General features: G+C 43.1%; 1 protein-coding gene across 10 annotated transcripts in view, besides 3 other annotated features; it reads right to left on the reverse strand.

Moving 5' to 3' along the window:
• CYRIA (CYFIP related Rac1 interactor A) overlaps positions 1–16,525 on the reverse strand; it is a 116,376-nt gene that overhangs the window by 44,082 nt on the left and 55,769 nt on the right. The window lies entirely within an intron of this gene.
• Positions 14,939–15,440: an enhancer, noted in NCBI's record as "H3K27ac hESC enhancer chr2:16789747-16790248 (GRCh37/hg19 assembly coordinates)". NCBI's record gives its function as "activates a minimal SCP1, AML or CMV promoter by ChIP-STARR-seq in naive and primed H9 embryonic stem cells {active_cell/tissue: H9 hESC(naive and primed)}" and the evidence as "EXISTENCE:reporter gene assay evidence [ECO:0000049][PMID:30033119]".
• Positions 15,441–15,940: an enhancer, noted in NCBI's record as "H3K27ac hESC enhancer chr2:16790249-16790748 (GRCh37/hg19 assembly coordinates)". NCBI's record gives its function as "activates a minimal SCP1, AML or CMV promoter by ChIP-STARR-seq in primed H9 embryonic stem cells {active_cell/tissue: H9 hESC(primed)}" and the evidence as "EXISTENCE:reporter gene assay evidence [ECO:0000049][PMID:30033119]".
• Positions 15,501–15,920: a silencer, noted in NCBI's record as "fragment chr2:16790309-16790728 (GRCh37/hg19 assembly coordinates)". NCBI's record gives its function as "represses an EF-1alpha promoter that drives an FKBP-Casp9 reporter gene in an ReSE screen in HepG2 liver carcinoma cells {active_cell/tissue: HepG2}" and the evidence as "EXISTENCE:reporter gene assay evidence [ECO:0000049][PMID:32094911]".

The raw sequence follows: 16,525 nt of genomic DNA on the forward strand, positions 1-16,525 counted from the left end.
AGAGGCCTCAGGTAATTCTACAAAAATTAAAACCCATTTTCAATGCAAAATTCCCGAACATAAACAAATGCTTTTAAAAATATGGATGGTGTGGTTACTCTTTTAGTAATACTTGGATTATCATCAAAGATTTAACTTTATTTTTTTGTGTGTGTGTGTTTTTTTTTGTGTGTGTGTGTTTTTTTTTTTTTTTTTTTTATTATACTCTAAGTTTTAGGGTACATGTGCACATTGTGCAGGTTAGTTACATATGTATACATGTGCCATGCTGGTGCGCTGCACCCACTAATGTGTCATCTAGCATTAGGTATATCTCCCAATGCTATCCCTCCCCCCGACCCCCGACCCCACCACAGTCCCCAGAGTGTGATATTCCCCTTCCTGTGTCCATGTGATCTCATTGTTCAATTCCCACCTATGAGTGAGAATATGCGGTGTTTGGTTTTTTGTTCTTGCGATAGTTTACTGAGAATGATGGTTTCCAATTTCATCCATGTCCCTACAAAGGATATGAACTCATCATTTTTTATGGCTGCATAGTATTCCATGGTGTATATGTGCCACATTTTCTTAATCCAGTCTATCATTGTTGGACATTTGGGTTGGTTCCAAGTCTTTGCTATTGTGAATAGTGCCGCAATAAACATACGTGTGCATGTGTCTTTATAGCAGCATGATTTATAGTCCTTTGGGTATATACCCAGTAATGGGATGGCTGGGTCAAATGGTATTTCTAGTTCTAGATCCCTGAGGAATCGCCACACTGACTTCCACAATGGTTGAACTAGTTTACAGTCCCACCAACAGTGTAAAAGTGTTCCTATTTCTCCACATCCTCTCCAGCACCTGTTGTTTCCTGACTTTTTAATGATTGCCATTCTAACTGGTGTGAGATGATATCTCATAGTGGTTTTGATTTGCATTTCTCTGATGGCCAGTGATGATGAGCATTTCTTCATGTGTTTTTTGGCTGCATAAATGTCTTCTTTTGAGAAGTGTCTGTTCATGTCCTTCACCCACTTTTTGATGGGGTTGTTTGTTTTTTTCTTGTAAATTTGTTTGAGTTCATTGTAGATTCTGGATATTAGCCCTTTGTCAGATGAGTAGGTTGCGAAAATTTTCTCCCATGTTGTAGGTTGCCTGTTCACTCTGATGGTAGTTTCTTTTGCTGTGCAGAAGCTCTTTAGTTTAATTAGATCCCATTTGTCAATTTTGGCTTTTGTTGCCATTGCTTTTGGTGTTTTGGACATGAAGTCCTTGCCCACGCCTATGTCCTGAATGGTAATGCCTAGGTTTTCTTCTAGGGTTTTTATGGTTTTAGGTTTAACGTTTAAATCTTTAATCCATCTTGAATTGATTTTTGTATAAGGTGTAAGGAAGGGATCCAGTTTCAGCTTTCTACATATGGCTAGCCAGTTTTCCCAGCACCATTTATTAAATAGGGAATCCTTTCCCCATTGCTTGTTTTTCTCAGGTTTGTCAAAGATCAGATAGTTGTAGATATGCGGCATTATTTCTGAGGGCTCTGTTCTGTTCCATTGATCTATATCTCTGTTTTGGTACCAGTACCATGCTGTTTTGGTTACTGTAGCCTTGTAGTATAGTTTGAAGTCAGGTAGTGTGATGCCTCCAGCTTTGTTCTTTTGGCTTAGGATTGACTTGGCGATGCGGGCTCTTTTTTGGTTCCATATGAACTTTAAAGTAGTTTTTTCCAATTCTGTGAAGAAAGTCATTGGTAGCTTGATGGGGATGGCATTGAATCTGTAAATTACCTTGGGCAGTATGGCCATTTTCACGATATTGATTCTTCCTACCCATGAGCATGGAATGTTCTTCCATTTGTTTGTGTCCTCTTTTATTTCCTTGAGCAGTGGTTTGTAGTTCTCCTTGAAGAGGTCCTTCACATCCCTTGTAAGTTGGATTCCTAGGTATTTTATTCTCTTTGAAGCAATTGTGAATGGGAGTTCACCCATGATTTGGCTCTCTGTTTGTCTGTTGTTGGTGTATAAGAATGCTTGTGATTTTTGTACATTGATTTTGTATCCTGAGACTTTGCTGAAGTTGCTTATCAGCTTAAGGAGATTTTGAGCTGAGACGATGGGGTTTTCTAGATAAACAATCATGTCGTCTGCAAACAGGGACAATTTGACTTCCTCTTTTCCTAATTGAATACCCTTTATTTCCTTCTCCTGCCTGATTGCCCTGGCCAGAACTTCCAACACTATGTTGAATAGGAGCGGTGAGAGAGGGCATCCCTGTCTTGTGCCAGTTTTCAAAGGGAATGCTTCCAGTTTTTGCCCATTCAGTATGATATTGGCTGTGGGTTTGTCATAGATAGCTCTTATTATTTTGAAATACGTCCCATCAATACCTAATTTATTGAGAGTTTTTAGCATGAAGGGTTGTTGAATTTTGTCAAAGGCTTTTTCTGCATCTATTGAGATAATCATGTGGTTTTTGTCTTTGGCTCTGTTTATATGCTGGATTACATTTATTGATTTGCGTATATTGAACCAGCCTTGCATCCCAGGGATGAAGCCCACTTGATCATGGTGGATAAGCTTTTTGATGTGCTGCTGGATTCGGTTTGCCAGTATTTTATTGAGGATTTTTGCATCAATGTTCATCAAGGATATTGGTCTAAAATTCTCTTTTTTGGTTGTGTCTCTGCCCGGCTTTGGTGTCAGAATGATGCTGGCCTCATAAAATGAGTTAGGGAGGATTCCCTCTTTTTCTATTGATTGGAATAGTTTCAGAAGGAATGGTACCAGTTCCTCCTTGTACCTCTGGTAGAATTCGGCTGTGAATCCATCTGGTCCTGGACTCTTTTTGGTTGGTAAACTATTGATTATTGCCACAATTTCAGAGCCTGTTATTGGTCTATTCAGAGATTCAACTTCTTCCTGGTTTAGTCTTGGGAGAGTGTATGTGTCGAGGAATGTATCCATTTCTTCTAGATTTTCTAGTTTATTTGCGTAGAGGTGTTTGTAGTATTCTCTGATGGTAGTTTGTATTTCTGTGGGATCGGTGGTGATATCCCCTTTATCATTTTTTATTGTGTCTATTTGATTCTTCTCTCTTTTTTTCTTTATTAGTCTTGCTAGCGGTCTATCAATTTTGTTGATCCTTTCAAAAAACCAGCTCCTGGATTCATTGATTTTTTGAAGGGTTTTTTGTGTCTCTATTTCCTTCAGTTCTGCTCTGATTTTAGTTATTTCTTGCCTTCTGCTAGCTTTTGAATGTGTTTGCTCTTGCTTTTCTAGTTCTTTTAATTGTGATGTTAGGGTGTCAATTTTGGATCTTTCCTGCTTTCTCTTGTAGGCATTTAGTGCTATAAATTTCCCTCTACACACTGCTTTGAATGCGTCCCAGAGATTCTGGTATGTGGTGTCTTTGTTCTCGTTGGTTTCAAAGAACATCTTTATTTCTGCCTTCATTTCGTTATGTACCCAGTAGTCATTCAGGAGCAGGTTGTTCAGTTTCCATGTAGTTGAGCGGCTTTGAGTGAGATTCTTAATCCTGAGTTCTAGTTTGATTGCACTGTGGTCTGAGAGATAGTTTGTTATAATTTCTGTTCTTTTACATTTGCTGAGGAGAGCTTTACTTCCAACTGTGTGGTCAATTTTGGAATAGGTGTGGTGTGGTGCTGAAAAAAATGTATATTCTGTTGATTTGGGGTTGAGAGTTCTGTAGATGTCTATTAGGTCTGCTTGGTGCAGAGCTGAGTTCAATTCCTGGGTATCCTTGTTGACTTTCTGTCTCGTTGATCTGTCTAATGTTGACAGTGGGGTGTTAAAGTCTCCCATTATTAATGTGTGGGAGTCTAAGTCTCTTTGTAGGTCACTGAGGACTTGCTTTATGAATCTGGGTGCTCCTGTATTGGGTGCATAAATATTTAGGATAGTTAGCTCCTCTTGTTGAATTGATCCCTTTACCATTATGTAATGGCCTTCTTTGTCTCTTTTGATCTTTGTTGGTTTAAAGTCTGTTTTATCAGAGACTAGGATTGCAACCCCTGCCTTTTTTTGTTTTCCATTTGCTTGGTAGATCTTCCTCCATCCTTTTATTTTGAGCCTATGTGTGTCTCTGCACGTGAGATGGGTTTCCTGAATACAGCACACTGATGGGTCTTGACTCTTTATCCAATTTGCCAGTCTGTGTCTTTTAATTGCAGAATTTAGTCCATTTATATTTAAAGTTAATATTGTTATGTGTGAATTTGATCCTGTCATTATGATGTTAGCTGGTGATTTTGCTCATTAGTTGATGCAGTTTCTTCCTAGTCTCGATGGTCTTTACATTTTGGCATGATTTTGCAGCGGCTGGTACCGGTTGTTCCTTTCCATGTTTAGCGCTTCCTTCAGGAGCTCTTTTAGGGCAGGCCTGGTGGTGACAAAATCTCTCAGCATTTGCTTGTCTATAAAGTATTTTATTTCTCCTTCACTTATGAAGCTTAGTTTGGCTGGATATGAAATTCTGGGTTGAAAATTCTTTTCTTTAAGAATGTTGAATATTGGCCCCCACTCTCTTCTGGCTTGTAGAGTTTCTGCCGAGAGATCCGCTGTTAGTCTGATGGGCTTTCCTTTGAGGGTAACCCGACCTTTCTCTCTGGCTGCCCTTAACATTTTTTCCTTCATTTCAACTTTGGTGAATCTGACAATTATGTGTCTTGGAGTTGCTCTTCTCGAGGAGTATCTTTGTGGCGTTCTCTGTATTTCCTGAATCTGGACGTTGGCCTGCCTTGCTAGATTGGGGAAGTTCTCCTGGATAATATCCTGCAGAGTGTTTTCCAACTTGGTTCCATTCTCCACATCACTTTCAGGTACACCAATCAGACGTAGATTTGGTCTTTTCATATAGTCCCATATTTCTTGGAGGCTTTGCTCATTTCTTTTTATTCTTTTTTCTCTAAACTTCCCTTCTCGCTTCATTTCATTCATTTCATCTTCCATTGCTGATACCCTTTCTTCCAGTTGATCGCATCGGCTCCTGAGGCTTCTGCATTCTTCACGTAGTTCTCGAGCCTTGGTTTTCAGCTCCATCAGCTCCTTTAAGCACTTCTCTGTATTGGTTATTCTAGTTATACATTCTTCTAAATTTTTTTCAAAGTTTTCAACTTCTTTGCCTTTGGTTTGAATGTCCTCCCGTAGCTCAGAGTAATTTGATTGTCTGAAGACTTCTTCTCTCAGCTCGTCAAAATCATTCTCCATCCAGCTTTGTTCTGTTGCTGGTGAGGAACTGCGTTCCTTTGGAGGAGGAGAGGTGCTCTGCGTTTTAGAGTTTCCAGTTTTTCTGTTCTGTTTTTTCCCCATCTTTGTGGTTATATCTACTTTTGGTCTTTGATGATGGTGATGTACAGATGGGTTTTCAGTGTAGATGTCCTTTCTGGTTGTTAGTTTTCCTTCTAACAGACAGGACCCTCAGCTGCAGGTCTGTTGGAATACCCTGCCGTGTGAGGTGTCAGTGTGCCCCTGCTGGGGGGTGCCTCCCAGTTAGGCTGCTCGGGGGTCAGGGGTCAGGGACCCACTTGAGGAGGCAGTCTGCCCGTTCTCAGATCTCCAGCTGCGTGCTGGGAGAACCACTGCTCTCTTCAAAGCTGTCAGACAGGGACACTTAAGTCTGCAGAGGTTACTGCTGTCTTTTTGTTTGTCTGTGCCCTGCCCCCAGAGGTGGAGCCTACAGAGGCAGGCAGGCCTCCTTGAGCTGTGGTGGGCTCCACCCAGTTCGAGCTTCCCGGCTGCTTTGTTTACCTAAGCAAGCCTGGGCAATGGCGGGCGCCCCTCCCCCAGCCTCGTTGCCGCCTTGCAGTTTGATCTCAGACTGCTGTGCTAGCAATCAGCGAGATTCCGTGGGCGTAGGACCCTCTGAGCCAGGTGTGGGATATAGTCTCGTGGTGCGCCGTTTCTTAAGCCGGTCTGAAAAGCGCAATATTCGGGTGGGAGTGACCCGGTTTTCCAGGTGCGTCCGTCACCCCTTTCTTTGACTCGGAAAGGGAACTCCCTGACCCCTTGCGCTTCCCAGGTGAGGCAATGCCTCGCCCTGCTTCGGCTCGCGCACGGTGCGCACACACACTGGCCTGCGCCCACTGTCTGGCACTCCCTAGTGAGATGAACCCGGTACCTCAGATGGAAATGCAGAAATCACCCGTCTTCTGCGTCACTCACGCTGGGAGCTGTAGACCGGAGCTGTTCCTATTCGGCCATCTTGGCTCCTCCTCCAACTTTATTTTTTTTTGAGACAGAGTCTCATTCTGTTGCCCAGGCTGGAGTGCAGTAGCGCAATCTCAGCTCACTGCAACCTCTGCCTCCCGTGTTCAATCAATTCTCCTGCCTTAGTTTCCCAAGAAGCTGGGATTACAGGCACCCGCCACCACACCCAGCTAATTTTTGTATTTTGAGTAGAGACGGGTTTCACCATGTTGGCCAGGATAGTCTCGAACTCCTGACCTCAGGTGATCCACCCGCCTCGGTCTCCCAAAGTGCTGGGATTACAGGCGTGAGCCATCGTGCCTGGCCAGATTTTACTTTTTAACCAAACAGTTGTGTCTATGTGTACCCCATGTCATATAGCACAAAGTCTAAGGAAAACAAATGTCTAATAAAGAAAACCCAACCAAAGTGGTTCATAAATACTTCTACTGAAAAGAAATGAAATGCCAAAGCATAAAAAGTTAACACGTAGATTTTCTAGCAATCTGAAGTCGGGGACTTGGGGTGGCTGCCCACTCCAGTCCTAGGAGATCTGCTTTATCTTCCTCAACACTGACTCTCTTGGTGACAGCAAAATAAAAGGAAAAAGCAATGCCTATCCCACGAAAAGGCAATCTGATAACAGTTTGGGTGGCAAGTTTCTTCTTCCTCCTTTGGTTTTCTAATGAAAATGCTACCTTTAACAATTACTCTGAGAGAATTACTCAATCCCCAGGGCACTTACAGGTGGGGTATGCACTGAGAGAAGACATGGCTTCCGCATTCAGGTGATGCACATTCTATTTAGGGAAACAGCACTAGTTAAATTAAACAATTTAATCTATCTAGAAGCACGTATCACATTCCTGATAAATCATAAGTACTCAAATATATTAATTGAATGTGAAAATAATAGTATGTCCCCGCTACATATTAAGTAACAGAGTAATTATAGTTATTACTACTATAATTTATGAGAGAAACTGGAACATCAGCATTTTATTGAGTGCCCACTGTGTGTGTGGCACTATACTTGAAGCTTTCACACACTTTATCTCATTCAAACCTTACAGCAAACATCAGGTAGCTATAATTATCATCACATTGATTGGGGGGATAAAAAGGAGGTTCGAATGGCTAAACAATTTTTCAAATACTACAAGAAAATAAAAGATAGAGTCACATTTGACATTGAAACTCTGTGAATCTGAAGACTATGCTCTTTTCTGCACAGTAGAAGTCCTGGGGCTCCACATCCCTAGGAGGCCCCTGCCTGGGGACTTCAGAGAGTGTGGTCAGCTGAAGGTATGTGTAGGGTGCTGTATTGTTGAATGAACACGCTCATTTTTTCTGGGGAGACAGCCCATAGCTTCCATTAGATTCCAAAGGGGTTGGCTCTACACTAGTGCTACTCAATAGCATGTACAGGAAGGGAGGTGTTTCTTTAGGAAATGAAGGAAAAGAGAAAATTATGTGGGGTGAAGTCTTCTGGAAGAGTTTGCTCGATAGAAGAAGCAAGCTGCCACCCAACGTGAAGAATACTGGGAATCCGGGTTGGCTGAGAGAAGCCCTCCAGCTGAGGGGGTTGGGGGGGATTCTGAGTGTGAAGGGAACACAGAATACACATTGGGTGACCCCTCAATCCTCCAAAAACAGAGAATTTCTTCCTCAAGATTCATTTACTGTGCTAGTATTTTGAAATAGGTTATTCAATTTTTTTCCCCCAAATAGTCTAGAATATGGGTGTTTCTCTAGTCATTTTAGGAGTGGTAGCAATGCCTCTAAAGCCTGCCTGCACGCCCTTGCCAAGGGAGGCACTCATCTTTAAGGGGTGACAATTTTGGATGTACTCATGGTATTTTCTATGACCGCTTTCTTGGCTCTCAGTTCAAAACCACTTCTATGAGAGTTGGCTTTAAGGCTATTCAGTGGAAAACCATGACTCTCTTTAAGAAATAATTCTCTAGTCACATTTCCAGTTTCAAAAAAAAAAAAAAAGAGAGAATTCATATATGCAGACACTGTTTTTCACTATTTGCAACTCTATTTTTGTTTAGAAGAAAAATAAGTTGATAGCATTAGCTGCACTCCCAGAGTATAAAACCAAATGAAATCAAGCAGGGTTTATTTTAAAAAGAAGTGACTGTGGTTTATGGAGAAATTCATTTGTTTTCTATAAATAAGACATATCAAAGGAAGCAGGCCCAGGGAACAGGGCAGTGTGAATGATGACCTCTGCCTGTGTATACCAAAATTTCAATGCTCAACCTTCATGAGTAGATCACAAGCTCCTAGGAGATTTCTTTCTTTGGTTATGACTATTTGAAAGGAGAATTCCTAAGCCAATGCTACTTTTTATCAATAATGAACAGAAGGTGAGAAAACAAATCAATACAACAGCAGCCCTACCAGGGTTTATTTTCTAACATTTTTTTAAAATCTAAGACAATAATACTCATCTCTAACAGATAAGAAGACCTCTATCAGAAGGGATAGATTTTCTTATCATTTTGAATGACCCAATACCTTCCAGAATCTATAATCTTTAGCCTCTCTGGTGCAAAGACTTGAAGAAATCGAAGACTCAGATTGCCTATAACAACATTTTGGGAATAAGGAAGTCCTGACTCATCCAATTTTTTTTTTGGCAACATAGCATTTAAACTACAGACTGACCATGAATACACCAATAACATATATTTATATAATTTCACATCTTTGTCAAAGATGTGTCTGATTGCATTTATCTTCAGTATGAACATATGTCAAAGGGAGAAAAGTTATCATTGGACCCATTTTACGGGTATAAGAACTCCATGACCAGGTATAGTAAGTGTCCTTCCCAAGGTCCTCCAGATGGGTCCTGGACTTCATAATATACAGGCCCCCTACATCCCCAAATTTAATCTGAATACACTCCATATTAGAACTGGGGTCATCTTTTTAAAGCTCTCATTTTACAAAAAAAGAATGGGTCCAAGAATCCACAGCACATTAGGGTCAAAGAAGGGACTAGAAGAGAGATGTTGTGGCTCTCAATCTCATGCTCTCTCCATTAATACAAAGAGTAAATGGGGCATCAAGTTCATTTTCTAAGACATGATGAACTCAGAATGCTCTTTGCTCCCTAATAAGGACACCCTCGCTGGTGGTCCAGAATAATTTTTTTTTTTGCACACTTTCCTTCCTTCTCAATTTGATTTTCCTGATTCATACCCTTGGCAGAGCTTGCCAGTATCCTGCAAATAGTCTCCAACTTGATCTTCCTGACACCAGTCTTGTCTCCCTTCTACTCATTTCCATGCTGCCGGCAGAGCCATTTTCCTAATCACAAATCTGAGATACTACTTCCTTGCTTAACATGCTTCTGTGGCTCCCCAGTGCCTGTCGGACAGAATGCATTCAAATGAATGCACTGGGCACAGAACGCCTGGACCCCGCCCCCTCCACTCCAGCCTTGCCCTGCACATCCCATCCCTAGAGTGGCTCTGCTCTTGACTGCCTCAGGGCCCTTGCACATGCTGCTCTGTCTGCTTAACATTCTTAATGATCTGCAGGCCAGAGTGAGGAGGGTGCTTTATGTATTGCCATATTTTAATTTTTACAACAACCATATGAAATAGTTACTGCTATTATCCCAGTTTCAGAGATAAATAATCTTAAAGACTTAGAAACTTACTGCATCTCACCAGTGACAGATCAGGGTCACTGGAATCCCCTTCTATCTGACATCTAAGCACCAGCTCTTGGCAATTGCTTCCCCCACACTTCCTTTGAAGTAGGAGGGTGAAGATCAGGACCCTTGGAAGGACCCCCTGAGCCCTCCCTCCCCCTCTATTCTACACCAGTAAAAACAAAAGCCACTCTTCTGAGTGAGCTCCTCGTCTCTGCTCACCTAACATGTCTTGTGGGCCATGCAACAGTGCCTATCGCAGCAAACCATAATTACATACGCTTTCTCCTGTATCTCCCTGTCTTCTAGGGCAGGGCTGCTTTTACACCACCTTGTATTCCCAGCACTTAAGGACAGGACTAGCATGTAGTAAGCACTGAAAAATAAATCCTTAGGATTGTTCTGACTAGTGGTTCCCAAGCCCTCCAAGGCAAAATGAGAAAAACAAAGCCTACGTCATGAGCCTTTCAGAAAGTTATTCAAACACTTCTATGTTACACGGTTTTTATTTATGTTGGAAAATGATGTTGTAATTATATCCTAAATATGCCAGGTTTATTTGGAAATGTTACTGGTTTTTGAAATCCTGAAGTCTAGGAACACGCACCTGGGCTATGCCTTGTGTGGGGCTGGGAGCAGAGCTACAAGCGTGACCTGGCCTCTCACGTCGTCAGGCCAGCGCCTTCATCTGCACCTGCTACCTCGCTTTGTTTTATCGTTAAGTCTGACCTTCTAGCTACTATGGGGCCCCAAGATTTCCCCAGCAGGGTAGAAGAAAACAGAGTAGAGGAAAACAGTCCAGTTTTGGCTTTAGGAATGTTTCTGGAGACTGGATGTGATTTTAGGAGGGCAATTAAGACAATCTACCTTTCAAGCTTATCAGCAAGGTTCAGAGTTGGAGAAATCCTGATGGGCAGCCAGGGCGGCCACTGTTGTCAGTGACATCAAAGGCTTGCAGATGTCCCACAGTGCTCTGCAAAGCCAGCAGCACTTCTGGCTCCTCCCAGCCATCGTCTGGCATCCAGTGGGTGTCCCAGGAGGAAGGGGCCCAGCCCTGACATGTCTAGTATTCAGATGACTCAGACACGCTTTCTCCTGGTCACCACAGAACCCCGTTTACAACATGTACACCATCTGACTGTTTTGAATTACAAGCAAAACAAACTACCCACTTCCATTTAATCATCAGCTTACAATATATCAATAGGTGGTGTTAAAAAATACTTCTCATCTAAAGGTACATTTCTTAAATGATATAAGCAGCTGTTTTTCTGGGGAAAAATATGCACCACTGGAATGAAGTAGCTCAGTTGATACATTCTGGGAGCCTGTATTTGCTAAGCCAGGTTAGCCATTTTAGATGGCGGGGCTGGGCTTGCACATCCCTGCTCCATCTGCCATTTTTTGCAATGAAGTCATGAGGTTTTCTGTTCCATTGTCAAATGTATTGCCAAGAATCCAACAGACGATTTCATTCCGAGATGAAGGAAGAAAACTGAAGTGGAGTGAGTCTATTAAGCACTTTCATCTGACAATAAAAATGAGTTAATGGCTAAAGTGTGTTTTCAAAACGTTTTAACACTACAAGTAATGGCACTCAAATGAGAAAATGCCTTGAATATTCTCATCGATCATTAATACCATGGTGTCCCTCAAAAGGGCTTGGCATTCCCCATGGAATACAAGCTGCTAGAGTCCAGTTGTAAGGCAATTCACGGGAATTCTAAAAAAAAAAAACCACGAAACCATTATGGAATTGAACAATTAAGTGCAGGTTTAAAATAGTTCTTTCAATATCTGAGTTCAGTTTTCTAAAATAGACTATTACCTCATCATAGCTAATTTTTCCATAAACATCAATAGTACAGCAGCAAAAAGTACCCAAGAAATGAGGGCAAAATTAGATTCTTTTTTAGGGAATGAAAGTCAATGTGTCCCCCACTTTCAAATGCTAGTGACATGGAAGCAATCAAACTGGGCTCAGCTCCGGCCCAGGCCACCGCTGGGAAGTCACTAGTGAATCTGTCCCCTTTCTCTTGGGAAATCAAGAACATGCTTATGAGGAAACTGCTTGAGACACCTGCTTCTTACCTAGGCAGGTGGACACTCTCAGCCTACCCAGGCCCGTTCTGCCTAATTTCAAATGGAAAGGTACCCCATGCAGGGCAAGGGGCCCCAGAGACCCAAGCACTCATCTTGGAGACACCATTCACTTAGTGTCATGTTGGGCAAGTTGCTCTTCCTCTCTTGGTTGGTTTCAACTCCAGTCTAGAAAGTAAAAGGGAACACCTAGAAGTTATCTCAAATTTGGGCTGTTCTGATAGTGAATTCGCTTAAACAGGCTGTCAGTTTTTTGGATTACAAACCTCCTTTCTTCAGAATTCATTCTCAAGTATTTAAATAAACAACAGCCAAGACCCTCTAACCCTCTGAGAGCAGAGCTGTAGGTGAAGGCTTGTCATGGGCACCGCTGAGCAACTTCTCCTTGCTGAGATACTTGGGACCCATCTCCTTCCTCATCTCTCACCTCTCTGGAAGTTCCTCCTCAAGTTTCTACTTTGTCCATCTGGCCTTTAAGTCTTGGTCTCCATGTTCTTTCTTCAGCCTTTTCTCATTCTCCCTGGTGTGACCCTTCTGACTCCAATTTCCACCCATAGGCAGATGACTCTCAACCTCTGGCTCTATATTAGACTTCTGTCCCCAGCTCCAGGCCCATCAATCCAAGTGAATGTCCCACAAGCATAGCCATTCGGGGAAGGCCATAGAAACCTCACTTTCCACTCTTTCCAAAATCTTCTCCTCTTCCCTCACCCAACAAAAAGCATTATTATCCTCCCAGTGTCATAACCAGAGCCCTGGGCACCACCTGAGATTTCTCTACCTGCTGTACCCCTTGATCCACTCTCCCACCAAACTCTCTCCATGTCTCCCTTAGATCCATTCCTCTTCCCGATGCCCTTCTCTTGGGTGTCCTCCTCCTTTCTCTCTCTCCAGTCTCTCTCTCTCCTCCTCCCACTCTTATATTGGATACTTGAGACCCCTGGGATCATTCACCAGTCTCTGAACATGTTACAGGGAATGTCACATATACAACTAATTCTGGGGAATTAAATCTCTTCCATTCCTGTTGTCTTACAATATAACTAAAAAAAAAAAAAAACAAAATGAAAAAGAGGCCTTCTCCTTTTCCCTGCCCAGCTTTCATTCCACAGGCAACTGTGTCACACATTTGTTCTTGAAGTTTATCTGCCTCCATAGTTCTCTGGCAGGTGGTAAAATACAACCTATCAGGTCAAGGGACCAGGAGGCGAGTCCTGATGAAAATGGTCCTTCTGGGAAGCAAAAGGCCCTGCAGAATTCGATGGCCCCAGGACCTTGGGATGACTCGACATCTAAGAAGGTTTTCAGATGTTGAGTTTTCTTAAACTGGAGCTCATCTGGGTACCAAAGGAGGCTTTGGATGTGACATGTCAAAGCAAAGGAGCAAAGGAAATTTGCTCCCAGGTCAAATTTATTTTGGGAAGTGCAGGGGGATATAAAAAATTATGTTGGTACCGAAACAAAAAAAAATCCAATAAAAGCCATCACATACAAAAAACCTGAAGAATATGAGGCCAAGAGAGATTAGCATGCTCCGTGAAATCTCAAGCATCAAGAATGTCCAAAGTGTTGAAACTTCACTTGAAATCTCAGAGACAGGTGCGGCTCTGCCTTTGTTTCCAGCTTCTGAAAGGAGCAATTGCCCTTGTTTCAACGTACTCATCATTGCAAACAAAACTAACATGTTAAAATAAAAGCCCTGGCTTGGTACCCGAGCAAGCTGTGCAGACGGTCAACCTAAGGCTGGGACAGGAAAGGTGGATGAGGTGAGAGTCTGCAGAGTGGTGGGAGGTGGGCCTGTCAGGCAGGGAGGGGCGGGTGGGGGGTGCTACTTCCTGAGACAGAATCCAGGGAGCAAATAGAATACAGAGTTAGCTGAGTCGACGAAGTTAGCCATGGTTAGCATAAACGCCTGCTAAGCTGGCTGTCAAATAAAGCTGGGTAAATTTTTTACTTGGTATGCAAGGCTATAAGCCTGGCTTAGAGCTCTCTTTCAAGATTCCGCCCCTCTGCTGAAGCTACTCTGATCACTCTGTACATAAGCCACACCAGAATATGACAGTGGAAGGGCTCCTGCCTCCTTGCTTCTGCCTTTTTTCTTTTTTTTAGATGGAGTCTGCTCTGTCATCTAGGCTGGAGTGCAATGGCACTATCTTGGCTCACTGCAACCTCTGCCTCCCAGGTTCCCGGGTTCAAGCGATTCTCCTGCCTTAGCCTCCCAAGCAGGTGGGATTACAGGTGTGTGCCACCACACCTGGCTAATTTTCGTATTTTTAGTAGAGACAGGGTTTCACCATCTTGGTCAGGCTGGTCTTGCACTCTTGGCCTCAAGTAATCCACCTGCCTAGGCCTCCCAAAGTGCTGGGATTACAGGTGTGAGCCAGAGTGCCCGGTCCTTGCCTCTGTTTTCTTGCTCATACTGTTCCTTTTGCCTTGAACGCCTAAAGACGGCCTATCGTTTCTCCCAGTAACCTCCTCCCCAAACCCCAGGCATAAGTAAGCACCTTTGCTGTTGTGGATTCTTGCAGGGGCTATCTCTGACTGGCTGTCAGTGTTTTAGCCATTTCAACCACTCCTCCTCACTCCTCCCCGCCCAACCACCAAGCAGGGTCCCACACATCGCATTATTCATTTATGGCCACTGAGATGGATGGGAAGGACTGGATAAGTAGTCACTACCCAGCAACAACAACAAAGACATCACCCACACAGACTGAGCAGAGAAAACAGTCATTGGTGAGAGAAACGGGTCTGAGAAAAATAAGCATTTCCCCAAATATAAACACTTTTGGGTGATTAGCCCTTTTGTTTTAGGACCAGAGACTACTTTGAAAATCTAATGAAAACTGGCTTTCTCAGAAAAATGCACACATGCAGACTGATACACTTTCAGGAGGTAAAATAAATACACGGAAGCCCAGAAACGAGGGAATCCCTCATCTATTTTAAGATCGCAAATTTCAGTTTATAGATGGCCAAGTGGAATGAGGACGGCGTTTTGTAGTGTGGACCACGGACTAAGCTACTCTAAAAAGGAAAGGGAATCATTTCATGGAAACAGCATGAGCTTTGGAGACGTTGGGAGAGTCATTGGACTCTTTTGAATCTGAGTTTCCCTTGTTAGTAAAATGCAAATCAAAATATTCCCTTTTTAGTATTGTTACTAAGTAAGTAAGATAATGCAGGTAGAAGTTCTTAGTGTAGCATCTGGCATGCAGTAGGTCCTAACAAATAAGTATCTGCGCCCCCTGCCTTGCATTTCAAAAATTGCAACCACAGCGCAAACAAGTCATTGCCCTTTTAGCAATAAATCCTGCACTGTTGCTTTGGAGCTGGAGAAGAAAGCCGACTCAGACCACCACGTCAGTGAAGAGGTGAAGCTGGGTCCTGAACTGCTGCTGCGATGGGATCATTCACATGGCTATTAATCATACAAGAGCCCATTTATGACAAACGCAGGTCACTCCCTTTGCATGACAAGGCACATGGGTCCACAGAGCCCCATTATCCAAAAAAAAACACAGAGCATTGTGGGCGATGCAGGCGAAGGCGAGTGCACACACACAAGCGGACATTGTAAGGCTGTTTGCACAACCCCGCCGTGCTCCTCGCGGATTTCCTGCCAAGGAGACATTTAGATCTCACAGAGGCGGCTGCAGACATTTGCTCATTCAACATGGCTTCAGGCAGTGGCTGCGGAAACCCGGTGCATGGTACCCTCTGCTGGTCATCTCTGGAACTGCGGGCCAGGGATACCGGGGATAAAGCACACAAGGGGGACCCCTGGGGCCCCAGGCTCTTCTCTCCCTCCCTTGTCTAAAGAGTACAGTACAATAGGCATGAGCTTTTTTGTCTGAAAAGTCTGACATTAAATATCAACATCTCAATTGTAACATGGATTAGCCAGAAGACCCTGGGCATGTCATCTCACCCCTCCTCAGACCTCAGCTTCTAGCTGGAGACCACATGTTTCTACCACGGGACCCTTGCACTTGCTAGTCCTTCTGCCTGGAATGTTTTTCCACAATCTGCATAGATTTTCTTTGTATATTCATTCGGGATTTATTTTTCAGTGGAGTTCAACCTAACAGTTTTGTCCAAAATACTATTTTACTCCCACTCCCCAGTAACTCTGCTTTTCTTTTAAGTATATATCATCATTTATTTATGTGCCCTCAACTCCTAGAATAGGGCCTGACACATAGAAGGAATGCCATACATATATGTGGAATAAATAAGGACATCTTCCATGACTCCCCTGTCACTTCTCCTCCTAAAACAAAACGTATGCTTCTTCCTCCATATTACAGGGGAAAAGAGGTTCTCAGATCAACCTGATATTTTATTCACACACTCTTACTGGTCAGAGAATCTACTACTGTGTAGTATCCAGAACGGTTTCCAGGCCTCTGAGTGTGGTCTGCCCAGAAGGACTGCATCTCGCTTCCATCTGGACACTAAACCTCTACTGAGGTAACCCAAGATGGTACTCAGGGATTTTGGCAGACAGAGCATATTGCCAATATGTACTGATTTACAGCCAACAAAAAATGCAATTGAGTAC

The sequence above is a fragment of the Homo sapiens genome, chromosome 2 (assembly GCF_000001405.40).
Source record: "Homo sapiens chromosome 2, GRCh38.p14 Primary Assembly".
NCBI classification, from domain to species: domain Eukaryota; kingdom Metazoa; phylum Chordata; class Mammalia; order Primates; family Hominidae; genus Homo; species Homo sapiens.